The 25,831-nt window shown below is 46.2% G+C and overlaps 1 long non-coding RNA gene and 2 pseudogenes across 3 annotated transcripts in view, besides 1 other annotated feature; 1 reads left to right on the forward strand and 2 right to left on the reverse strand.

Annotated features, from left to right (window-relative positions):
• PMS2P2 (PMS1 homolog 2, mismatch repair system component pseudogene 2) overlaps positions 1-9,191 on the reverse strand; it is a 15,061-nt pseudogene extending 5,870 nt beyond the window's left edge. Inside the window, exons 1-4 of the transcript NR_003614.3 lie at positions 9,138-9,191; positions 5,743-5,882; positions 3,763-3,849; positions 2,030-2,215 (exon numbers count right to left, since the gene is read on the reverse strand). The product of NR_003614.3 is annotated as a PMS1 homolog 2, mismatch repair system component pseudogene 2 (transcript). The remainder of the gene's footprint in view (positions 1-2,029; positions 2,216-3,762; positions 3,850-5,742; positions 5,883-9,137) is intronic.
• Positions 8,939-9,468: an enhancer, noted in NCBI's record as "H3K27ac hESC enhancer chr7:74987999-74988519 (GRCh37/hg19 assembly coordinates)". NCBI's record gives its function as "activates a minimal SCP1, AML or CMV promoter by ChIP-STARR-seq in naive H9 embryonic stem cells {active_cell/tissue: H9 hESC(naive)}" and the evidence as "EXISTENCE:reporter gene assay evidence [ECO:0000049][PMID:30033119]".
• Positions 9,394-18,003, forward strand: STAG3L1 (STAG3 cohesin complex component like 1 (pseudogene); annotated as a pseudogene). The gene is made up of 10 exons (NR_040583.2): positions 9,394-9,603; positions 11,265-11,403; positions 11,568-11,653; positions 12,166-12,282; positions 14,827-14,950; positions 15,449-15,547; positions 15,758-15,837; positions 16,146-16,253; positions 16,518-16,632; positions 16,944-18,003. The product of NR_040583.2 is annotated as an STAG3 cohesin complex component like 1 (pseudogene) (transcript).
• LOC124901677 (uncharacterized) lies at positions 16,801-23,732 on the reverse strand. Its single transcript, XR_007060390.1, has 2 exons — positions 21,360-23,732; positions 16,801-17,891 (listed from the first exon to the last, which is right to left on the reverse strand). It is a non-coding gene; the product is annotated as an uncharacterized LOC124901677 (long non-coding RNA).
• Positions 23,733-25,831: the final 2,099 nt, after the last annotated feature.

Below are 25,831 nucleotides of genomic sequence, written 5' to 3' on the forward strand. Positions count from 1 at the left end.
CCACGTCCTAGGTTCAAGCATTCTGCTGCCTCAGCCTCTGGGGTAGCTGGGATTACAAGGGTGCGCCACCACGCCTGGCTAATATTTATATTTTTAGTAGAGACGGGGTTTCACCATTTTGGCCAGGCTGGTCTTGAACTCCTCGACCTCAGGTGATCCACCTGCCTTGGCCTCCCAAAGTGCTGGGATTACAGGCGTGAGTCACCGCACCCGAATCAGTTCAACTTTTATGTAATGAAGTTGTCAGTTGTTTTCCAATTGCCATCGACCTGCAGGTTGAAGGTCATGTACCCTGTGCATGCCCAGGTTAACCACGCGTGCCACCGTGGAGTGGAACCTAAGAGCTCAGCCTGAAGAGCCCGGACCGATTTAAGAACCAGACACCCCCAGGCAGGAGCCAGGATCCAATCAGATTGAGTTTTGGTGTCACCCCATGGCAGGATCCAGTCAGATCACACCTCCCAGCATTACTTTATTGCAAGATCCAATCAAATCACACCTCATTACCCTATGCTTATAAAACCTGACACAGCCCCCAGCTGTGTAAGGGAGATTTGAGTACTTCCTCCTGTGTTCTTGCTGGCTGACTTACAAAAAAGCTTTAAAAAAAAAAGCCAGGCGTGGTGGCTCACGCCTGTAATCCCAGCACTTTGGGAGGCTGAGGTGGGCAGATCACTTGAGGTCAGGGGTGCAAGACCAGCCTGGCCAACATGGTGAAACCCCATCTCTACTAAAAATACAAAAATTAGCTGGGTGTGGTGACACACACCTATAATCCCAGCTACTTGGGAGGCTGAGGTAGGAGAATCACTTGAACCCAGGAGGCGGAGGTTGCAGTGAGCCAAGATCACACCACTGCACTCCAGCCTGGGCGACAGAGTGAGAAGACTCCGTCTAAAAAAAAAAGTTAAAATTAGCACCAAACGCTTTACAAGTAAAAAAAGTTTTTAGCTGCATATGTTTAAGTAACTTTTTAGATTATAAGAAATACGCATGCAAAATGGAAAGGCACAAAGAAGAGAGCAAAAAGTGCATGAGATCTCACATCCAAGGATAACCGCTGAGAACATGGAAGTGCTGACTCTTCAGTCTTTATACTATACACATTTAGGCCTGTTTTGTTTTTATAAAACTGTAATCATATAATACAGACAGTTTTATAATCTGCTTTTTAAACACAACAATTATATAACATTTAGCTGTTTCATTTGCATTCAAATTCATAAGGGTTCCAGTAACTCATTTATCAGAAAACCAAGAGAAATATTCTCATAAAAATATAAGTACATAAGGTCAGGCATGGTGGCTCACGCCTGTAATCCCAGCACTTTGAGAGGCCGAGGTGGGCGGATCACCTGAGGGCAGGAATTCGAGACCAGCCTGGCCAGCCTGGACAACATGGTGGAACCCCGTCTCCACTGAAAATACAAAAATTAGCCGGGCGTGGTGGCGCGCGCCTGTAATGGTAGCTACTCAGAAGGCTGAAGCAGGAGAATCGCTTGAACTTGGCAGGTGGAGGTTGCAGTGAACTGAGATCGCGCCACTGCACTGCAGCCAGGGCGCCAAAGTGAGACTCCATCTCAAAAAAAGATAAAAATAAAAAATAAAAAAAATGTATATATATGTATATATATTTTTCCAGACAGGGTCTTACTCTGTCTCACAGTCTGAAGTGTAGTGACGCAATCGTAGCTCACTGCAGTCTCAAGTTCCTGGGCTCAGGTGATCCTCCCACTTCAGCCTCCCAAGTAGCTGGAACTACAGGTGCATGCCACCATGCCCAGTCAATTTTTTTTTTAATTTTTCATAGAGACAGACTCTCACTATGTTTCCCAGTCCTAATAAACATTATGTGATAAAAAGAAAAAAGTAAATCATCCTGAAGTTAAGTCTTTAATGAGAAATGCAAATAAAGCATTTCTCAATAAATTATGGGAAGAGAATCAACTGAAGAATAAACATCTTTAGTAAATCTTTTGCTCATGTGCATTAACCAATACTCTTGAAAACCAGGATTAATTTACTGTACCTTCTTAATATTCCTTTGAAATTCCTTATGGCGCACAGGTAGCGTAGAAAATAACTGCTTCACGCTGACTGTGGTCCCTCTGGGGTGGGGGTAGGGGGTTTTCTGGATGATTTTCCCATCGTGATCAAAAACACCAGTCGAGTCCCAACCTTCGCCGATACGTGGCAGGTAGAAATGGTGACATCACTGTGAGAGAATACCAGGCATGGTGTGTTCAGTGAGAGATCCATGATGTTGGGCACTGACTACTCTTTTCTTCACTTGCTTTTCTCTCAAAATTTTCTTAAAAAGCTGATGATCCCTCTGAGATAACCGAGATCTAAACGGTTGAGGAGTCATCACAAAATCTAAGGTCTGGCATCTAAAAGACAGTGAGACAGAGAGCACTAAACATGCTTTGTTTTGATAAAAGCTTTGACTTCATTTTTCAGGTTGAATTGCAAAACCATAAATGATCTCAAGATTTATTGATTCTCAAATAGAGATTTGTTTTGTTATTACTCTTCAAACAAAATTTTTTAAAAGAATTTTTTTAAAGAATTTTTTAAAATTTTTAAAATTTTTTTTAAAGAATCCAAAAGATATTATAATTAAAATGTATATGTAGGGCAGGGTACGGTGGCTCATGCCTGTAATTCCAGCACTTTGGGAGGCCAAGGAGGGCAGATCACTTGAGGCCTGGAGTTCCAGACCAGCCTGGGTAACATGGCAAAACCCCATCTCTACTAAAAATACAAAAATTAGCCAGGAGTGGTGGTGCACGCTATAGTCCCAGCTCTTCAGGAGGCTGAGTCACGAAAGTCACTTGAACCTGGGAGGCAGAGACTGCAGTGAGCTGAGACTGTGCCACTGCACTCCAGCCTGGGTGACAGAGTGCGACTCTGTCTAAAAAAAAAAAAAAATATATATATATATATATATATATATATGTATATATATGTATATATATATGTATATATATGTATATATGTATATATGTATATATATGTATATATGTATATATATGTATATATATATGTATATATGTATATATGTATATATATATGTATATATGTATATATATGTATATATATGTGTGTGTGCATGTAATTATTTATAAAAATTTAGTATCTGTGCTGTAATTAAATAGTGCTTTGGTGAAATGTTTCCCTAAAAATTGATAATGAAAACCAATGGTAACTATCATTTATTATCTATATGTTATGTTCAAATTGAGAAGTTACTGTTTTAATAAGGGTAACCAATTTTTTAAACAATACTATTTGCTTCATTTCATTCATTTATTGCTCACATTTCAGAAGTACTAGGACTTAGATTGGCAGTGAGACAAAACAGAATTCAGAAGCTAGAAGCTGAGATATTGAGATAGAAAATTGTAAATAATAATGATTCCAATTAATTTTCAGAGAGGTTTTTCTAAGGGGTCAAGTGAATGGATAAAAATATTTTATCACCTCAGTGCACAAAGTGAGCTCAGAGCTTTCCCCCGAAAGCCAAAAGTTTCAACCCGAGTTAGGTCGGCAAACTCTTGAATCTTAGATGTGTGATGTTTCAGAGCTGAAAGAGACTGTAAAGTAAGGACTAAGATATCTCAAGTGCTATAACAACAAATATACATGATATCTAGTAACTGGCTTTAGAAAACTGTTTTTGTGTTTCCCAAGACAGTGTTACTCAAAATTCTAAGACATGTGGCCCAATTATTTTGTAATAGGATTAGAAAGTTAACTTACTTAAGCCTTCGAAGTTTTCTTCTTCTACCCCACATCCATTGCCTGAAACTTCAATGAGATCCATTCCATAGTCCTTAAGCTTTAGATCTAGAAAGTTTAAAATATTTATATATTTATTAAAAATGGACCCACGCTATCAGTTTTTATATTGATATTATTTATAACGTGCAAATTTAAGTGTCGTAACTATACCTTTAGTTAAACATACTAGTGTCATTTTGTATATTTCATTTTTATAAAGTTCTTTCTGGCCATTTACTAGCCCAGATTAAATAGTTTAGCATTTTCTTTCTTTCCTCTTTTTTTTTTTTTTTTCCTTACACTAGTCAAGTGAAGCAGTTGGAGTGGAGAAGGAACAAAAAAATCTGTAACTGGTTGTGATCAATTAGTTGTAAAGACCGTTGCACTTTGACCAGCCTTTTCCTTTGAAAGAAATAATTTTAACATACCCAGTAAGGAGAACGGGGGCCGGGCGCAGTGGTTCATGCCTGTAATCCCAGCACTTTGGGAGACCAAAGCGAGCGGATCACCTGAGGTCAGTAGTTCGAGACCAGCCTGACCAACGTAGAGAAACTCTATCTCTACTAAAAATACAAAATTAGCCAGGCGTGGTGGTGCATGCCTGTAATCCCAGCTACTTGTGAGGCTGAGGCAGGAGAATCGCTTGAACCTGGGAGGTGGAGGTTGCAGTGAGTTGAGATCGTGCCATTGCACCGCAGCCTCGGCAACAAGAGCAAAACTCTATCTCAAAAAAAAAAAAAAAGAAAAAAAAAACAGAACTGGTTCTGGAATCAGACTTCCTAGATTCTATTTTATTAGCTTTATAATCTCAAAAAAAGGAAATTTACTGTCCCTTAATTTCCTCAACTGTAAAATGGAGGTAATAAGTTCTATCTCATAAAGTTATTTGGCAGATTAATAATTTTTTTTTAATTTTGTCATTTTCTTTTTTTTCTTTCCTTTTTTTTTTTTTTTTTTTAATTTTTTGAGATGGACTTTTGCTCTTGTCACCCAGGCTGGAATGCAGTGGCACAATCGATCTTGGCTCACTGCAACCTCCACCTCCCAGGTTTAAGCAATTCTCCTCCCTCAGCCTTCTGAGGAGCTGAGATTACAGCCATGCACCATCACATCTGGCTAATTTTTGTATTTTTAGTAGAGACAGGGTTTTACCACGTTGGTTAGGCTGGTCTTGAACTCCTGACCTCAAAGCATCAGCCCCCCTCAGCCTCCCAAAGTGCTGGGATTACAGATGTGAGCCACTACTCCAGGATTTATTTTATTTTATTTTATTTTATTTTTTTGAGACAGAGTCTTGCTCTGTCCCCAGGCTGGCGTGCAGTGGCACAATCTCGGTTCACTGCAACCTCCACCTCCCAAATTTAAACAATTCTCATTCCTGAGCCTCCCCAGTAGCTGGGATTACAGGCTTCTGCCACCAGGTCTGGCTAATTTTTGTATTTTTAGTAGAGACAGAGTTTCACCATTTTGGACAGGCTGGTCTCGAATTCCTGACCTCAGGTATCCACCCGCCTTGGCCTCCCAAAGTGCTGGGATTACAGGCGTGAGCCACCACACCCGGCCTGCTTTATTTTTTAATAGAGACGAGGTCTCCCCATGTTGGCCAGGTTGGTCTTGAACTCTTGGCTTCAAGCAATCCCCCCACCTCAGCCTCTCAAAGGGCTAGGATTACAGGCGTCAGACACCACGCCCAGCTATTCTGCAAATTAAATGAGATATTTCTGTGCAATTCTTAGCATAACACCTGCCTGGCACACCATAAGAACACAAGAAAAGCTGTCGTTATTATTATTACTACCTAGCTAAGTACTAGGCACATAATAGGTGCTAACTTTAACTTAAAAATAATAGTTTATTACTACATCAACACTTGATAGTCTTATTTCAATAACAAATGTTTCTTGACTACAACAACATTCACTGATCATTTCTTGTGGCTTAAAACTCTCCCAAACTTACCAATATTAGCGGCACCAGCATCCAGACTGTTTTCTACTATCTTCTTCACCGCAGTGCTTAGACTCAGTACCACCGGCCCAGAGCAAATCTGATGGACTGACTTCCGATCAATAGGTTTGATGGCCTTAGCAGGTTCTGTACTAAAGAAATCAGTTACAAGAAACAAAGCAAGTATTCAGCTATATATTTTCATCCTGATTTTAACTGTGGGAAATGACTCAACACTGCAAATAGTTTATGGGTCTAATCTATTCATTTATTATATTAACAAATACATTTATTATATCCAGAAATGGAAACATTGTTTTACAATCCTTAAACAAGTACCCAAAATACTTCTGGATAGACACTTCAAATTCAACACATCCTTACTATCTAGTATCCACATGGAGAAAACATACATTGTATCTCTCAAATTACCAAAATCTTTAGCAATAATGGTGTCTTCTTTCTTGAAAACTGAAAGCATGGCCGGTGCGGTGGCTCATGCCTGTAATCCCAGCAATTTGGGACACAGAGGCAGGTGGATCACTTGAGATCAGGAGTTTGAGACCAGCCTGGCCAACGTCGTGAAACCCTGTCTCTACCAAAAATACAAAAAATTAGCCAGGCATGGTGGTGGGCGCCTGTAATCCCAGCTACTTGGGAGGCTGAGGCAGAAGAATCACTTAAACCTGGGAGGCGGAGGTTGCAGTGAGCTGAGATTGCAGCATTGCACCCTAGGCTGGGCAATGAGCAAAAAAAAAAGTAAAAGCAACATAATTTCCCACATAATTAGAAAAACCAACAGTATGCTGGGAAATACACAATGTTTAAGTCAAAATCATCTCAGAAATTGGATACCAGTTATATAACTATTCCTTATACACAGTTGCCTTTGATACCCTACTCCAAATTGAAGCTGCCAGCTGCTGTCTTAGCAAAGACCCTCAAAGTTCTTGCTGTACTTGTTTTAAGAGGTTTTTTTTTTTTTTTTTTTTTTTTTTGAGACGGATTCTTGCTCTGTCGCCCTGTCGCCCAGGCTGGAGTGCAGTGGCACGATCTTAGCTCGCTGCAAGCTCTGCCTCCCGGGTTCACACCATTCTCCTGCCTCAGCCTCCTGAGTGGCTGGGACTACAGGCGCCCACCACCATGCCCAGCTAATTTTTTGTATTTTTAGTAGAGACAGGGTTCCACCGTTTTAGCCAGGATGGTCTCGATCTCCTGACTTCGTGATCCGCCCGCCTCAGCCTCCCAAAGTGCTGGGATTACAGGCGTGAGCCACCATGCCCAGCCCACTTTAAGAGTTTTATAACGGTTTCATTTCCCCTTATTCCCTGCTCCAACCCATCCTCCACTCTATCACCAGAGCTATTTTTGAAATCACGAATCTGGTCAAATAATTTTTCTGCTTGAAAAATTACTAGTGCCCCACTTCCTACTATATGAAACTTAAAATCTAGTCATCACTGGGCCCCAAACTACCTTCTTTTCAGAATCTCTCTGATCCTTTCCCTTCATCAAGTCCCCTACATTATTATTATTATTATTATTATTATTATTTGAGACAGAGTCTCACCCTGTCACCTGGGCTAGAGTGCAATGGCATGATCTCGGCTCACTGCAACCTCCACCTCCCAAGTTCAAGTGATTCTCCTGTCTCAGCCTCCCAAGTTGCTGGGATTATAGGCATCCACCATTACACTCAGCTAATTTTTGTGTTTTTAGTAGAGATGGGGTTTCACCATGTTGGCCAGGCTGGTTTCTAACTCCTGACCTCAGGTGATCTGCCCGCCTTGGCCTTCCAAAGCACTAGGATTACAGGTGTGAGCCACCGCAACTGGCCGTCCCCTATATTGCAGCACAGTGAACAACTGTTTCCTGAACATCACAAGCTCTCTTAGACACTACAGTGTATAAGCAGGTCTCTGTCTAAACTGCTCTCCTCTTGCCCCTCTGCCCAACCAATGTCTGCTCATCCAAAGAATGTATCCCGTGTGTTCATTAACTTAGCAAGTTCCCAGTAAACAGTTTAATTGATCACTCGTTAAGAGAAGGCGGGAAACCTCCATGAAAAGAGAAATCAGTGGGTATTTCCTACAGCATTTAACACATCGTAGGCCTTCAATAAACCCTTGTGAAATAAACAAACCTCTTTACTCTTCATTCTATGTTGCTAAGAATCTCACCTAAGTCTGTCTACCATGTGAAACTGCAGATGACCTCACAGAAAATGGAAAGAAGTATCTCTAAAAATAAGTTTATTTGGCAACACACTACAGGCTACAGGTTCACTTCTGATTTTTTTTCTTTTTTTTTTTGAGATGGAGTCTTGCTGTGTCACCCAGGCTAGACTGCAGTGGTGCAATCTCAGCTCACTGCAACCTCTGTCTCCTGGGTTCCAGCGATTCTCCTGCCTCAGCCTCCCAAGTAGCTAGGATTACAGGCGCCTGCCACCACGCCCAGCTAATTTTTGTATTTTTAGTAGAAATGGGATTTCACCATGTTGGCCAGGCTGGTCGTGAACTCCTGACCTCATGATCCACTTGCCTTGGCCTCCCAAAGTGATGGGATTATAGGTGTGAGCCACCGCACCTGGTCCACTTCAGATATTTAGATACAGACGGCAAATTTATTTAAATGTCTCAATACATTTAAATGTAGTTACCTAAATATATCTAATATATTTAAATGCAGAGAGCAAATTTGCGTTTACAAATCTGACATGGAATTCAACTGTGCTAGCCAAGATTCGGTGTAGCTTACCAGCCAGAAATCACATACCCTAACAGGTAAAAATGCATTGCATTTTTTAAAACTGAGCAGCTACGCAAATTAGGATGTGTCTGGACGCTCTACTGTCCCCAAAATAACCTCAATTTTTTTTTAAAAGGCCAGGCACAGTGCATTACGCCTGTAATTCCAGCGCTTTGGGGGGCCAAGGCGGGCGGACTGCTTGAGCTCCGGAGTTCCAGACCAGCTTGGGCAACATAGCGAAATCCCCGTCTCTACAAAAAAATAAAATAAAAATTAAAAATAAAATAATATAAAAATAAAAATAAAAGGGGAGAGAGAACAGGTAGAAAGGAAATGCATTCAGTCTATGGGGATTTCACGTTCCGGCTTCAAGTCCACGGCCCTGTGATGGGATGTGGGCAGGGCCTGAGACAGGCCGAACCCAACTCTTCACAGGGCCGAATTCTTTGCCCGCAGCCCAGCACCCCGAAGGAGCTTGCCTCGGCTTCAAGGCGCACCTAATGGGCACCGGATCGCTGGGGCGCTGAGGATGCCGCTCCGGGGCCTCCACGAGGCGGCCTCCCACGCGCCTCGGCCATGTTCCCCCCATTTCCAGGGAGGTTGGAAGCCGTGGTTCTCAAAGAGGGCGCGCGAGAGGGGCGACCGCGAGCCCAGCTCACCTCGAGCTCTCAGCTCTCTCCAAGGATGCAACACCGGATCCGCCTCGGGGACTGGGAAAGTGCCCTCAACGGCTCCCACAGGCGCCCCGCCTCCTGGGCTCCCATTGGCTGCTTTCGACGTTGTGCTCCACCCTTTCCGGGCGGGGCGGAAAAAATACTTCCCGTCTCTCCTTTTCGCCTAGTGGCTCTGTCAAAGGTCGAGTCCGTGACGTCAAAGAGCCTGGACCAATCAGAGCACACCGGACTGCGTTTTTTTTTTTTTTTTTCCGAACGCCCGCAGCAGGGTCAGAAGGGAGGTGGTCGCCCTCCGTCGTGGTCTGGCGTGTATTCCGAGCCTTGGTGTCTGGCGGTTTCCAAGCGTTGGTGTCTGGCGGTTTCCGACCGTTGGTGTCTGGCGGTTTCCGACCGTTGGTGTCTGGCACGCGCCACCCTCTCTTGCTTTGGTTGCGCCATGCCGATGTACCAGGTAAAGCCCTATCACCGGGTCTGCGCCCCTCTCCGTGTGGAGCCCACCTGCATGTACTGGCTCCCCAACATGCACGGCAGGAGCGGCGGCCCAGCACTTGGCACTGGCCACTTGCAGGTAGGAGCGCGGGGCCCCCCGCCCACTGCGCACGCGCGGCGGCCGGGTGCTGGCCCGGGTGCCCCTAGGCCGGATAGAGTGCGTCCCAACCGATTCGCGGCCCCACCCCGGCATCTGTGCCGGCCGGCCAGGGGCTTACCCAGATTTTTATGTTTTAAAAGATTTATTCAGGCCGGGCGCCGTGGCTCACGCCTGTAATCCCGGCACTTTGGGAGGCCGAGGCGGGCGGATCACCTGAGATCAGGAGTTCGAGACCAGTCTGGCCAACATGGTGAAACCCCGTGTCTACTAAAAATGCAAAAATTAGCCGGGCGTGTGTCGGGCGCCTGTAATCGCAGCTACTCGGGAGGCTGAGGCAGGAGAATGGTTTGAACCCTGGAGGCGGAGCTTGCAGTGAGCTGAGATCGAGCCATTGCACTCGAGCCTGGGCAGCAAGAGTGAAACTCCGTCTCAAAAAAAAAAATTATTATATACATATATATCTTTATATATATTAAATATACCTTTATTATGCGTATTATACATATTGTATATTATGTGTAATATATGACATAATATATTATAAAATATATTGTATATTATATATATATATATTTTTTTCCTGGTCGAGCGCGGTGGTTCACGCCTGGAATCTCAGCGCTTTGGGAGACCGAAGCGGGAGGATTGCTTGAGCCCGGAGAGTTTGAGACCACCCTGAGCAACATAGCAAGACCCTTGTCTCTATGTTTTTTTTTTTTTTTGAGTTGGAGTCTTGCTCTGTTGCCCAGGCTGGAATGCAGTGGCCTGATCTCGACTCACTGCAAGCTCCACCTCCCGGGTTCACGCCATTCTCCTGCCTCAGCCTCCCCAGTAGCTGGGACTACAGGCGCCCGCCACCACGCCTGGCTAACTTTATTTTGTATTTTTAGTAGAGACATGGTTTCACCGTGTTAGCCAGGATGGTCTCGATCTCTTGACCTCGTGATTCGCCTGCCTCGGCCTCCCAAATTGCTGGGATTACAGGCGTGAGCCACCACGCCCAGCTGCCTTGTCTCTATTTTTTAAATGTTTTAATTAAAATAAAAATCTATCCATATTTTTTCTTTTTTTTTTGCGTATGGCTGCTTAAACATTTTAGTTCAGAATTCTATCCTCTGAAAAGTGAATAGCACATAAATGCTCATTTTGAGGAATTACAAAGCGAACCCCAGGGTCACCACCTCCCAGGTTGACACACATTGTCACCGCTCCATTCTTTCCACTTAAACCTTCCCCACCAGCACCCCAGGGCCTGATTTTTATGGTAATTATGTCATGCTTGTCTCTATTATTTTGTCAGCTAAGTATCCCTAAACAATGTGGTCTGGTTTTTTGTTTGTTTGTTTGTTTTGTTTTTTTCAGACGGAGTTTCACTCTGTCACCCAGGCTGGAGTGCAGTGGCATGATCTCAGCTCACTGCCACCTTGGCCTCCTGGGTTCAAGCAATTCTCAGGCCTCAGCCTCATGAGTAGCTGAGATTACAGGCACTGTCCACTGCACCTGGCTAATTTTTGTATTTTTAGTAGAGACGGGGTTTTGCCATGTTGACCAGGCTGGTCTTGAACTCCTGACCTCAGGCGATCCGCCCGCCTTGAACTCCCAAAGTGCTGGATTACAGGTGTGAGCCACTGTGCCCGGCACCTAAACAACATAGTTTTGATATAGGTAAGCATACAGCATATATTTTGATGTATTTCAGGTAATTTAGTCTAAGAACAGGAAAGGACAGAAAATGAACACAATTTGTAGTTCTTTGTTCTTAACAAACTAAGAATACTTTGCTTAAATAAGTAGCAATGAGAATGTAACTCAGTAATTCATACAAATAGACAAGAAGACAAGAAAATGATTTGAGGACAGCTTCAATCGCGGTGTGAAGAAGAAAGCAGCAAAACGACCACTGAAAACAACGCCGGTGAGTCAGCCAGTTTTCTTTTGTTTTTGAATCTTGTGGGGGAAGCAGCCCAGCTATTCGGGAGGCTGAGGCAGGAGAATGGCACGAACCCCGGGGGCAGAGCTGGCAGTGAGCCGAGATCACGCCACTGCACGCCAGCCTGGGCGACAGAGCGAGACTCCGTCTCAAAAAAAAGAGAAAACCTAAGAGGTTCAGGTGATATGGTTCAAAAAAGGACAAGATTTACAAAGTATTAAGGGACGGAAATAGGAAGAAGAGAAATTTCGAAGAGAAAAGAAAAGAAAAGGATGTTTGGTTATAGAGATACGGGAAGGAGACTCAAGGAATTTTTTTTTTAAAGGGAAAAAAGTTAATAAACTTCATAATATAAAAATCAATTATTTCAGGACTGAGTCTAACTCAGACTGCTGTGGAATTGGCAGCGTAAGCCTACTTGTGTGATAATGATGAAACCAAGTGTTAATGTCACTGTTACCTTTTTTTCATATTTCTGATCTTTTTATGTGTATCAGGTGGCAAAATATCCAAAGAAAGGGTCCCAAGCGGTACATCGTCATAGCCGGAAACAGTCAGAGCCACCAGCCAATGATCTTTTCAATGCTGCGAAAGCTGCCAAAAGTGACATGCAGGTAAAAGCAGTGTCTTACCTCTGTTGATACCATCTCACTTTTTGTAAGGTGGTAAGGACAAGTGTCTACAAACTTGATTTGATGTGAACATTTTAGTGAGTGTAACATATCAAGAAAGATAAGATTATGGGGTGAATCCTTGGAGTGATAGAAGGGTAACCTTGAATAAGAGAGCATGTTCTTTTTTTTTTTTTTTTTTTTTTGAGACAGTCTCTTTCTGTTGCCCAGGCTGGAGTGCAGTGGCACAGTCTCAGCTCACTGCAGCCTCTGCCTCCTGGGTTCAAGCGATTCTCATGGTCTTGGGAGGCTGAGGCCTCCCAAGTAGCTGGGCTTACAGGCATGTGCCACCATGCCTAGCTAATTTTTGTATTTTTAGTAGAGATGGGGTTTCGCCATGTCGGCCAGGCTGGTCTCCAACTCCTGACCTCAGGTGATCCGCCTGCCTCGGCCTCCCAAAGTGCTGGGATTACAGGTGTGAGCCACCGCACTCGGCTTCGAGAGAGCGTTTCTTTTCTTAAAGCGTGTTCTTTTCTTAAAGGTATCACAGGAGTGATTATGCCTTTATTGATTGATGGAGCAGATGAGGAGAGGCATTGCATGACATGGGAAGGAAGCTTAGATGTGGGTGGCACCTTGTTCACCCGTGTTATTTTTTAGCTCCATCTTGACAATTATACTTAATTATTTTTTCCCTCTCTGTTTCTTTTTTTATAATTTTATTGAAGTTCTAATATCTGAAAGTGTACAAAGCGTATATGTAGTTTAAAAAATAAAAATGAGATATCACCCAGATCTCTAGCCCCAGCTCAAGAAATGAAACATTAATAGTGCTGTAGAGATCCTTTGTGTACCTTCTTTCTACCCTACCTCACAGTCCCCTTATTACCCATAGGTAAACACTAGGGTGAACTTTGTGTTAATCTTTCTCATCTTTCATTATAGTGTTACCACTATGAATGTGTTCTTTAATTATGTAAATGAATCCATTATTCAGGCTTCTGTGATTTAATTATTTCAGTTAAGATTGTTTGAGATTTATCCACATTAACATGTAGTTTTATAGTTTCTGGGAAAATATTTAAAATTTTCAAACATACAGAATTTTGCTAGTTATATTTTCGTTATTTGATTTCTAACTTTATTGTGTTGTAGTCAGGGAATGTGGTGTTTGAAATTTATGTAGGGGCTGGGCACAGTGGCTCACATCTGTGATCCCAGCACTTGGGGAGGCTGAGGCAGGCAGATCACTTGAGGCCAGGAGTTCGAGACCAGCCTGGCCAACATGGCGAAACCCCATCTCTATTAAAAATACACAAATTAGCTGCATGTGGTGGCATTTGTCTGTAATCCCAGCCACTTGGGAGGCTGAGGCATGAGAATTGCTTGAACCCAGGAGGTGGAGGTTGCAGTGAGCTGAGATTGTGCCACGGCACTCCAGCCTGGGTGACAGAGTGATACTCTGTCTCAAAAAAAAAAAAAAAAAAAAAAAGACATTTATGGAGACTTAGCCTTATGGCCTAGTATTGAGTTGGTACAATCATTTTATCTTTTCTGTTTCTTTTTCCCCCTTTGCTTGCTTTCCTCTGGATTTCTTATCTTCTACAAGGACCTGAGCACATTTTAATTCCAGTTGTCTTTTCCACCTTACATGCAGTTGTACAGTGTGTTAGTTTTTTATTTGAAACGGAGTCTTGCTCTGTCACCAGGCTGGAGTGCAGTGACGCGATCTTGGCTCACTGCACCTCCGCCTCCCGGGTTCAGGCGATTCTCCTGCCTCAGCCTGCCAAGTAGCTGGGACTACAGGCACCCGCCACCATGCTTGGCTAATTTTTGGCCACCATGCCCAGCCTGAATGAACTTTCAAAATTGGTTTTTAAAAGAGGTATGGAGGCCGGGTGCAGTGGCTCACACCTGTAACTCCAGCACTTTGGGAGGCCAAGACGGGCAGATCACTTGAGGTCAGAAGTTCGAGACCAGCCTGGCCAACATGGTGAAACCCCATCTCTACTAAAAATACAAAAAGGTAGCTGGGCGTGGTGGTGCACCTGTAATCCCAGCTACTCAGGAGGCTGAAGCAGGAGAATCACTTGAACCCGAGAGGTAGAGGTTGCAGTGAGCTGAGATTGTGCCGCTGCACTCCAGCCTGGGCAACAGGTGGAGTGGAGAATTAGGCTGTACAAGGCTGGTGTTTAACTATTTTATGGTTTGGTAACAGAAAGAAAATATTTACTAACTGGGTATGGCACATTTTTGTAGTCCTAGCTACTTGAGAGGCCAAAGTGGGAAGATGACTTGAACCCAGGAGTTCAAGGCCAGCTTGGGCAACACAGCAAGAGACCCCATCCCTTAAAAAAAAGAGAAAAAATATTTACATGTATTTTACTATATATATAGTATTTACATCGGGAGGAAGAAATGAAAGGCATGGGGTACATGGCATTTCAAGAAAATAAATTCTTCCATGAGAGGGAGTTAACTGGTAGGATGGAAAGTGAGTTTGGAGAGAGGGTGGCTCTAAGAGTCAACTTATCTGTCTGTGTCTAGGGATGTCCTTCCTGAGATCCGTGCTATCTGCATTGAGGAAATTGGGTGTTGGATGCAAAGCTACAGCACGTCTTTCCTCACCGACAGCTATTTAAAATATATTGGTTGGACTCTGCATGATAAGGTGGGATTCGAGTCAGTTTCCCTTTCCGTTTCCTTCATCTTTTTCCTGTCCTAGGACACTTCACCTTTTCCTGGGCCTGCCACTGAGATATTTTACCTAGTGACCAATGATTAACCCATCAAGGCGCTGAACCTTGAAACTCCGCTAGCACTGGGGAGGGTAGGATAAGGTAGAGAGAGACATACCCAGGAGATGAAATGACTCAAAACATGAGGTACGGGGAGAGAGACTTTACAATGGAAGACAGTTATTGATGGATGGTAATGCAGGTGCTAAGGGGCAGCCAAAGGATCCTTCTCATCATGAGTACTGCTGTGATCCTTTTTTTTTTTTAAGTATGAAGACAGCTGTTCATTGTTTCTGACATCTCAGAGTCCTCAGTAGAGGGGACACCCAAGCTAGAATGAGGGATCGGAGAGGGGAGTCTGGACGCTCAGTAGGGGCGAGTAGAGTGTGGTTGGTCTTATTTCCATTCTCTTGGTTTTCCCTCCTCACCAGCACCGAGAAGTCCGCGTGAAGTGCGTGAAGGCTCTGAAAGGGCTGTACGGTAACCGGGACCTGACCGCACGCCTGGAGCTCTTCACTGGCCGCTTCAAGGTGAGACGGGTGGTGCTCCTTGGCTTGGCTCTTTGTCGTGGTTCCCGTTTCCCCACCTTGTATCTTTCTACCCTTCATGCTCTAAGATGTCTTGGCTATCCCAGCATCTGCCTCTACGTAGGCACTCTCTTTAGGAGGCTCTGATTCTAAGAGAACAGAATATTTGGAATGGGCGTAATGAGATATTGAGTGACTTTCTCCTTTCTGCAGGACTGGATGGTTTCCATGATCATGGACAGAGAGTACAGTGTGGCAGTGGAGGCCGTCAGATTACTGATACTTATCCTTAAGTGAGTCCTGGGAAGAGGGGAGGCCAGTGTCTCAGACCTTTGCCCTTCCAGGGTCATCTCCCTCCACCTGTCACAGCTGACTCTTCCATCTGTGCAGGTTGACTGAGGTCATTCCTGAGTTGCAGTATGTTGAGAGGGTAATATTTCTGTCTTCTCTAACTCCCCATACTCCCTTGTCTTCCACTCTCCATTTAGGAGTTTTTTGTGAGTTATGTCCTTGTTGCTTTTGCCTCTTTTTCTTTCTAGCCTTGATTGTGCCAGAAGACAATGTCCCTATTCACACACTCTTTCTGCTTTTCTGTGGGCAGGAACATGGAAGGGGTGCTGATGGACGTGGACTGTGAGAGCGTCTACCCCATTGTGTAGGCCTCTAATTGAGGCCTGGCCTCTGCTGTGGGTGAATTTCTGTACTGGAAGTGAGTGGGGCTCCTTTTACGTTTCTTTAACACCACCCTCTCGGTTTCTCTCCCACATGTGCTGCTGCCCTACTTAAGGCCTCCCCATCTCCGTGGAAGTCTCTCTGCTGTCTCTTTTCCTCTCTCAGCTCCTTGGGGCTTTCCTTAGCTCTGCACCTCCTTTTCCTTTATCATCTCCTTGGGCCATCTCCTCCCTCTGTGGTCATCATTACACCTCCTTGTTTCCTCCTGTGCTGAGCCCTTTCCTTGTGTCCATTCCACCAGACTTTTCTACCCTGAGTGCGAGATAAGAACGATGGGTGGAAGAGAGCAACGCCAGAGCCCAGGTGCCCAGAGGACTTTCTTCCAGCTTCTGCTGTCCTTCTTTGTGGAGAGCAAGGTGACATACACAGAGATAACTCTGGCTGTTGTGCATAGGACCTACAAGTGGGCTGGGGTTGGTGGTTCACGCCTGTAAGCCCAACACTTTGGGAGGCTGAGGTGGGAGGATCCTTTGAGCCCAGGAGTTTGAGACCAGCTTGGGCAACATAGTGAGACCCTGTCTCTACCAAAAAAAAAAAAAAAAAAAAAAGACAGATGGAGAAGGATGGGGGTGTACACTGTAGGAAGGAGAGCGATATTTAATCAGTAACCACTTCCTAGGGTATTTTAACATGCCATCACTAAATCCCCATGCACCTCCTTCCCCAGCTCCACGACCACGCTGCTTACTTAGTAGACAACCTGTGGGACTGTGCAGGGACTCAGCTGAAGGACTGGGAGGGTCTGACAAGCCTGCTGCTGGAGAAGGACCAGAGCACGTGCCACATGGAGCCAGGGCCAGGGACCTTCCACCTCCTAGGGTGAAACCAGGAGAGATTGCTTGCTTCACTTGTACAAGGCAGGAACGGTGGCATGGGGTGGGGGAAACTTGGAGTTGGAAGGTGGCTAATCTTTGATTCTATGTTTTTGATCCTCCTGGCACTCCAGACCTGGGTGATGTGCAGGAGAGCACACTGATAGAAATCCTTGTGTCCAGTGCCCAGCAACTCCTGCCTCAGCCTCCCGAGCAGCTGGGACTACAGGCGCCCGCCACCACGCCTGGCTAACTTTTTTGTATTTTTAGTAGAGACGGGTTTTCACCGTGTTAGCCAGGATGGTCTTGATCTCTTGACCTTGTGATCCACCTGCCTCATCATCCCAAAGTGCTGGGATTACAGGCGTGAGCCACTGCGCCCAGCATGTTAGACAATTTTTAATTCATCCTCTCTGTGCTGTTGTTTTCTCAGCTGTGAAAGGAATATTTTGGTGGGGACAAGGTTACAGAGTTGCTGAGAGGGTCTCATGACATGAAGGTACTGGCCTTGGCACAGTGCCTGGGGGGGCGGGGACTCCGCACATGCCTGTGATGTCACAGTTACTGTCAGTTCACAGCGAACCTTCCCTCCTTTTCCTGTTGACTTTCCCACACTCCTGTAACCCTCCCTCCCTCCCTTCTTCCTCTCTCTCTCTCTCACTCACGCACACGCACACACACACACACACACACACTCCATTCACTGTCTCCATGACTCTGGAGTAAACTAACGTCTCGAGTTGCCATTGGAAGCCCCATTGTCCTCATTTTGTTTTGTTTTGTTTGTTTGAGACGGGGTCTCGCTCTGTCCCCCAGGCTGGAGTGCAGTGGTGCGATCTCAGCCCACTGCAGCCTCCGCCTCCTAGGTTCAAGCGATTCTCCTGCCTCACCCTCCTGAGTAGCTGTGATCATAGGTGCCCGCCACCACACCCGACTAATTTTTGTGTTTTTTAGTAGAGACAGGGTTTCACTATGTTGGCCAGGCTGGTCTCAAACTCCTGACCTCAGGTGATCCGCCCACCTTGGCCTCCCAAAGTGCTGGGATTACAGGAGTGAGCCACCATGCCCAGCCTCCGTTGTCCTCATTTAGACTTTCATGGGTTATAGGCACTTTTGACTTCCTGGGGTCCTTCTTCAGTTAAAAAAAAAAATTAGAAAATTAGGCCGGGCGTGGTGGCACATGCCTGTAATCCCAGCACTTTATGAGGCCGAGGTGGGAGGATCACCTGAGGTCGGGAGTTCAAGACCAGCCTGACCAATGTGGAGAAACCCTGTCCCTACTAAAAATAGAAAATTATTTGGGTGTGGTGGTGCATGCCTGTAATCCCAGCTACTCAGGAGGCTGAGGCAGGAGAATCGCTTGAACCCGGGAGGTGGAGGTTGCGGTCAGCCGAGATCATGCCACTGCACTCCAGCCTAGGCAACAAGAGTGAAACTCTGTCTTAAAAAAAAAAATTAAAAATTATATTCGGGCCGGGCTTGGTGGCTCAATCCTATAATACCAGCACCTTAGGAGGCCAAGGCAGGAGGATCACTTGAGGCCAGGAGTTCAAGACTGGCCTGGGCAACATAATGAGAACCCATCTTTACCAAAAAAATAAAATTACATTAAAAATTAGCTGGGCACGGTGACGTCTGCCTGAGGTCACATTCAAGAAGCTGATGTGGGAGGATCGCTTGAGCCCAGGAATTGGAGGCTGCAGTGAGCTAAGATCATACCACTGCACTTCAGCCTGGGCGTCAGAGTGAGACCCTGTTTCTAAAATAATAATAATTTTAAAAAATGATATTTATGGTTGCATTGGGAAAAGATCAATCTATTAATATACGTGAAGACATTTTTGGCCTAAAAGTTATATATATTTTTTCCTTCTGATTTTAAAAGAAATGGGGCCAGGCATGATAGCTCATACCTGTAATCCCAGCACTTTGGGAGGCCCAGGTTGGTGGATCACCTGAGGTCAGGAGTTCGAGACCAGCCTGGCCAACATGGTGAAACCCCATCTCTACTAAAAATACAAAAATTACCCGGGCGTGGTGTCACACGCCTCTAATCCCAGCTACTCAGGAGACTAAGGCAGAAGAATCGCTTGAACCCAGGAAGCGAAGGTTGCAGTGAGACCAGATCGCATCATTGTACTCCAGCCTGGGCGACAAGAACAAAACTCTGTCTCCAAAACAATAACAACAGCAAAACAAATGAATAAAACTCATTATATTCATTTGCTTTTATTTATTTATATTTAACTTTATTATTATTATTATTATTTTGAGACAGAGTCTCATTCTATCACCCAGGCTGGAGTGCAATGAGGCGATCTCGCCTCATGCAACCTCCATCTCCCGGGTTCAAGCAATTCTCCTGTCTCCTCCAGGTAGCTGGGGTTACAGGTGTGCAGCACCACACCTGGCTAATTTTTTTATTTTTAGTGGAGATTGGGTTTCATCATGTTGGCCAGGCTGATCTCGAAAGCCTGACCTCAAGTGATCCGCCCACCTTAGGCTCCCAAAGTGTGGGGAGCCACCGTCCCGGTGTATTATTACTTTTAGAGACGAGGTCTTGCTTTGTTTTCCAGGCTGGAGTACAGTGGCTCAATCATAGCTCACTGCAGCCTCAAACTCCTGGCCTTAAGCAATCCTCCTACTTCAGCCTCCCAAAGTGCTGAGATTATAGGTGTGAGCCACTGCACCTGGCCTCTCTATTCTCTACTTCCTCTTTCTAGAATTTCTATTAGGCGGATGTTGAATCTCCTGAATTAATCTCTAATTTTCTTCCCTTCCCTTTCCCTTCTCCTTCCCTTCCCTTCCCCTTCTCTCCCCTCCCCTCCCCTCCCTTCCCCTCTCCTCCCCTCCCTTCCCTTCTCTCCTTCCTTTCTCTCTCTCTTTCTCTCTTTCTTTCTTTTATAGTCTCATTCTGTCACCCAGGCTGGAGTGCAGTGGCAGTTCTCAGCTCACCGAAACCTCTGCCTCCCGGGCTCAAGCAATTCTCATGTCTCAGCCTCCCAAGTAGCTGGGATTACGGGTGCACACCACCACACCTGGCTGATTTATGTATTTTTTTCGTAGAGACAGGGTTTTGCCATGTTGGCCGGGCTGGTCTCGAACTCCTGACCTCGGGTGATCCACCCACCTCAGCCTCCCAAAGTGCTGGGATTACAGGTGTGAGCCACCGTGCCCGGCCTTGACTACCATATTTTAAATTTACTGGAGGACTTTTTTGTTCTCTTCTTTTTTCTTTTTTTAATAGCATCCCGCTCTTATTTCAGAATAAAAAAAATTTTAAGGTATGTTGAGTAAGAATCTATAGAGCAATGAAAATGCAAGAGCAATAGCTATGGGCACCAAATGGTCAATCTTCTTATCATAATGTTGAGTGGAAGAAGCCAGGTCCACCAGACACATGCTGCTCATTTATGCAAAGTTTGGACACAGGCAAAACAAAACTAGTTTGATCGTGATGGGAAACATTAGAGAAATGCAAAGACATGACCATCATAATTGTCAGGAGAAGGCATTGGTTAGGATTGGGAAGCGGCAAGCAGAAGCATTTAGGGATTGGCTGGCAATGTTTTACTTCTCGGCTGAGTGAGGGTTGCATCGGTGTTTATTTGATAACACGTTCTAGGGGCTGGGCAAGATGGCTCATGTTTGTAGTCTCAGTACTTTGGGAGGCCAAAGATGGGAGGATTGCTTGAGCCCGTGAGTTTGAGACCAGCGTGGGTGACATAGTGAGACCCTGTCTCTACAAAAAATTAAAAAAAAAAAAAAAAACCCAGCTGCGTGTGGTGGCACAGCCTCAAACTCCTGGGCTCAAGCGATCCTCCCTTGGCCTTCCAGCCACTCAGGAGGCTGGGGTGGGAGGATCGCTTGAACCCAGGAGTTTGAGGCTGCAGTGAGCTATGAATGAGCCACTGCACTCCAGCCTGGGCAACAGGGCAAGACCCTGTCTCAAAAAAAAAAAATTTAATTTGAACACTTCTGTTTTGTGCAGTTTTCTCTGTTATATTTTACTTTTTAAAAAGAAAAAGCGGCTGGGCGCGGTGGCTCACGCCTGTAATCCCAGCACTTTGGGAGGCCAAGGTGGGCGGATCACCTGATGTCAGGAGTTCGAGACCAGCCTGACCAACATGGAGAAACCTCGTCTCTACTAAAAACACAAAAAATTAGCTGGGCGTGGTGGCGCATGCCTGTAATCCCAGCTACTCGGGAGGCTGAGGCAGGAGAATCGCTTGAACCTAGGAGGCAGAGGTTGCAGTGAGCTGAGATTGCACCACTGCACCCCAGCCTGGGCAATAAGAGTGAAACTCCATCTCAAAAAAAAAAAAAAAAAAAGGTGCATGAAACATATGAAGCAAAAAGTGAAAGTCCCCATTCTTTTCCTTTTTCCAGAGGTGATTTTTGTGGCCAATCTGGTTTCATTCCCTCCCAGACACTTTTCTAGGCATCTATGCGCCTCTATTCACATATAAACAAAATAGGAGTTTTCCTGTGCTTCCCTTAAATGGCATATGTATCTTTCACTCTTTTTTTTCACCTAGTGGATCTTTAATACCTTAAAAGCTCAACCTGGGCTTGGTGCGGTGGCTCATACGTGTAATCCCAGGCCTTTGGGAGGCCAAGGTGGGAGGATCACTTGAGCTCAGGAGTTCCAGACCATTCCAAAGCAAAAACAAAAGGATTTTGAGATCAGTGTGGGCAACTTAGCAAAACACCATCTCTTAAAAAAAAAAAAAAATTAGCCAAGCTTGGTGGTGTAAGCCTGTAGTCCCAGCTACTTGAGAGGCTGAGGTGGGAGGATTGTTTGAACCCAGGAGGTTGAGGCTACAGTGAGCTGTGATTGTGCCACTGCACTCCAGGTTGGGTAATGCAGCGAGACTGCGTCTCAAAAAATAAATAAAATAAAAAATAAATAAAAGCTCCACCTGTCTTCCTTTTAGATGTTGCATAGCATTTCACACAGTATTGATGTATTACAGCTCAACTAAATTAATCCCAGTATCTAGCACTTGGGGTGGTGGGAAGGATTAAGGGAGATAATATAAGCCAAGTGCCCAGAACAAGGGCTTGGCACACCAGGCTCGCCTTGAACAATTTGTTTTTTTGTTGTTTTGTGTGTGTGTGTGTTTTTTTTTTGAGACAGCATCTCATTGCATCACCGAGGTTGTAGTGCAGTGGTGCAGTCGTAGCTCACTACTGTCTCAGACACCTGGGATCAAGCGATCCTCCCACCTCAGCCTCCGGAGTAGCTGGGACTACACATGCATCACCACACCCCACTAATTTTTAAATTTTTTGTAGAGACAGAGTCTCATTATGTTGCCTAGGCTGGTCTCAAACTCCTGGCCTCAATTAATCCTCCTCCCTTGGCCTCCCAAAGTGCTGGGATTACAGGGATGAGCCACTGTACCTGGCAGCCTTGAGCGATTTCTCACCTCCTCATTGGCCCAGTTTCCTTATCTGTAAATGAGAGTAGCTGTAAAATATGGTTAATGTGAGGACCAAACGGGTCAATTAGGGAAAAGCAGTGTCTCTGCCAGCACCTGACACTTCTTTTTTTTTTTTTTTTGTGAGACAGTCTCACTCTGCTGCCCAGGCTGGAGTGCAGTGGTGCAATCTTGGCTCACTGCAACCTCCACCTCCCAGGTTCAAGCAATTCCCCTGCCTCAGCCTTCTGATTAGCTGGGACTACAGGTGCCTGCCACCACGCCTGGCTAATTTTGGAATTTTTAGTAGAGATGTGGTTTCACCATCTTGGCCTGGCTGGTCTTGAACACCTGAACTCAGGTGATCTGCCCACCTCAGCCTCCCAAAGGGCTGGGATTACAGGTGTAATGGTTAAGGAGGCAAATCTTAAATAAAGGCCGGGCACAGTGGCTCACGCCTGTAATCCCAGCTACTCGGGAGGCTGAGGCAGGAGAATTGCTTGAACCCGGGATTGCAGTGAGCCAAGATCGCACCACTACACTTCAGCCTGGGTGACAGAATGAGACTCCGTCTTAAAAAAAAAAAAAAAAAAATTTAAATAAAATGCATGCAATGTGGTCCAGGCGTGGTGGTGCATGCCTGTAACCCCAGCACTTTGGGAGATAGAGGCAGGTGGATCCCTTGAGCTTAGGAATTTGAGACTAGGCTGGGCAACATAGTGAGACCTCATCTCTAAAATTAAAAAAATAAAAGCCACCAGAAAAAAACCTAAAAACATGCCAAGTGACATCAGTCTTTGATGAAAATGGCAGCAGAAGAGTGATGCCATGGGTGGGGGTGGGAAATGCTATTTCAGCAGAGAGGGAGCTGTCATGGAAGACACCATGTGGCTGGGCACGGTGGCTCACACCTGTAATCCCAACACGTTGGGAGGCCAAGGTGGGCAGATCACTTGAGGTCAGGAGTTCAAGACCAGCCTGGCCAACATGGCAAAACCCCATCTCTACTAAAATCCAAAAATTAGTCGGGTATGGCAGTGCACGCCTGTAATCCCAGATACTCGGAAGGCTGAGGCAGGAGAATCATTTGAACCTGGGAAGTGGAGGTTGCAGTGAGCCAAGATCGTGTCACTGCACTCTAGCCTAGGTGATAAAGCGAGACTCAGTCTCAAAAAATAAAGGAAGAAAAAGAAACCAGGTGACTGTTGTGCCCGTCTCTTGTCCCCGATCTTTCTCCCAATCCTGAGGTCCATCAGCTGGAAGGACATATCCATCCGGAGGCCTCCCCAAGTGTGGTGGGAGAAATCCATCCCCTCTCTGACACTCCCCCCGCCTTTCCCTCCCGACACCCAGTCCCCGGGAGATCAAAATTTAACCTGGTGTTATCTAGGCTGGAGCCTGAAGAGCCCGGTGGGAAGTGGAGGACGGAGAGGAGGGGCATGGACCCAGAAAGTAGCAGGAAGTCTTCAGAGACCCTTATTTTTAAATTATTTATTTTTGTTTGTTTTGTTTTTTGTTTTTTTGTTTCCCTCTTGTTGCCCAGGCTGGAGTGCAGTGGTGTGATCTTGGCTCACTGCAACCTCTGCCTCCCAGGTTCAAGTGATTCTCCTGCCTCAGCCTCCTGAGTAGCTGGGATTACAGGCGCCCACCACCAAGTCCGGCTAATTTTTGTGTTTTTAGTAGAGATGGGGTTTCACCTTGTTGGCCAGGCTGGTCTCGAACTCCTTACCTCAGGTGATCCACCCACCTCGGCCTCCCAAAGTGCTAGGATTATAGGCTTGAGCCACCGCACCTGGCCCTTCAGAGACCTTTGGAGCCAGAGGTGACATATCGATCTACATTTAACCCTCTGGGAACCAAGGAATGAAGGATTAGAGGAAACGGGGCCAGAAGTGGAGAGAAGGGGAGTGTGCATCGAACAGACAGGGAGTGTATTAAATAAATGAATGAGTGAATGAATGATCCATCCATATGGACACTAGCCTGTCAGTAAAGAAGAGTCTAGGGTCAGGGAGAGCTCAGCCCTCCTCAGGCCGCCCCCATGATGACATAGCCTTGGGCTAGGGGAAATCTGAGGTCAGGCCAGCTGCCTGGCAGGAGTTGAGACCCCAGAAGGAAGGTGGAGGGCAGGAACATTCCCCAGCCCCAGGGTGGGATCTCAGCCCAAGGAGATGGGGTTCCCAGGCCAGGGTCTGCCTTGGGCAGGCAGATGGGTGCCAGGTGGGCCCTGGGTCACCACTGGGGGCCAGCCCCAGCCCAGCGTCTGCCTCCCCCACTGCCCAGCCTCTGTTCATTCCCAGGTGGGACAGGGAGCCACAGCCCCCATCCCACCCCCTGCACAGAAGCCTTTTGACAGGCCGGCCGGCTGGCTGGGAGCACTGGCAGCCCCTCAGCCCCACGCCTCCTTCCCGCCCGGTCCCCATGCAGACCCCCCCACCTTCTGGGCTCCCAGTAGGCCCGGGTGGGGAGCCACCGCCCGAGCACAGTGTAGCTCCTTGTTCCCCGCCTTGGCCTCCTGGAATTGGCCCATTTCCTGCCTGGGCCGTGGGGCCTTTTCCAAGGTAAATAAACAAATACAGAGAAGTTGGGGCCTGGGGTGGAAAGGGGGATGCTGGGCTTTTCCTCCCTGCATCCCAACCCCATAGCAATAGCTGCTGTGTGACCACAGGGACCGGGACACCAAGGCTGAGCTCCCACACCCTGGGCTTCATTGATCCCTGGGAGAAGAGAACAGGATCCACTGGAGGGTTTGTGCCGCTCTGCCTCAGGGGCTGTGGTTCCCCATCCAGGACGCCCAGGGGCCACCGATTCCTGCAGGAATTGCCTGAGTGCAGGGCTGGGACAGCCGCTGAGAGACAGAAAGGGCTCCAGGGTGGATGACAATTCCCTAGGCTCCCGTCCTGGCTGTGCCACCTTGGAGCACTATGACATCAGGAAGGAAATGAACCTCCAGCTGCAGAATGGCTCCAGAGGTGCTGCCTGCTTAGGGGGTGCATGGCCCTCGCCTCCAGTGTCATAAATGGGCCATTGCCTTCTCCCAGGTCGGTAGTGAGAGTGACAGCAGGTGCCTAGCAGGACCCCTGAGTTTGGGAGCCGGCCTGGCCAGGGCTTCTTCGGCTTCCCAGGGGCTGGGGAGAAGCCTCTCCCTGTGACTCAGGCTTTCTTTCTTTCTTTCTTTTTTTTTTTTTTTTTTGAGACAGGGTCTCACTCTGTCACCCAGGCTGGAGTGCAGTGGCATGACCCTGACTCACTGCAATCTCCACCTCCTGGATTCAAGCGATTCTTCTGCCTCAGCCTCCTGAGTAGCTGTGATTACAGGC

The sequence above is a fragment of the Homo sapiens genome, chromosome 7 (genome assembly GCF_000001405.40).
Source record: "Homo sapiens chromosome 7, GRCh38.p14 Primary Assembly".
In the NCBI taxonomy this organism is placed as follows: domain Eukaryota; kingdom Metazoa; phylum Chordata; class Mammalia; order Primates; family Hominidae; genus Homo; species Homo sapiens.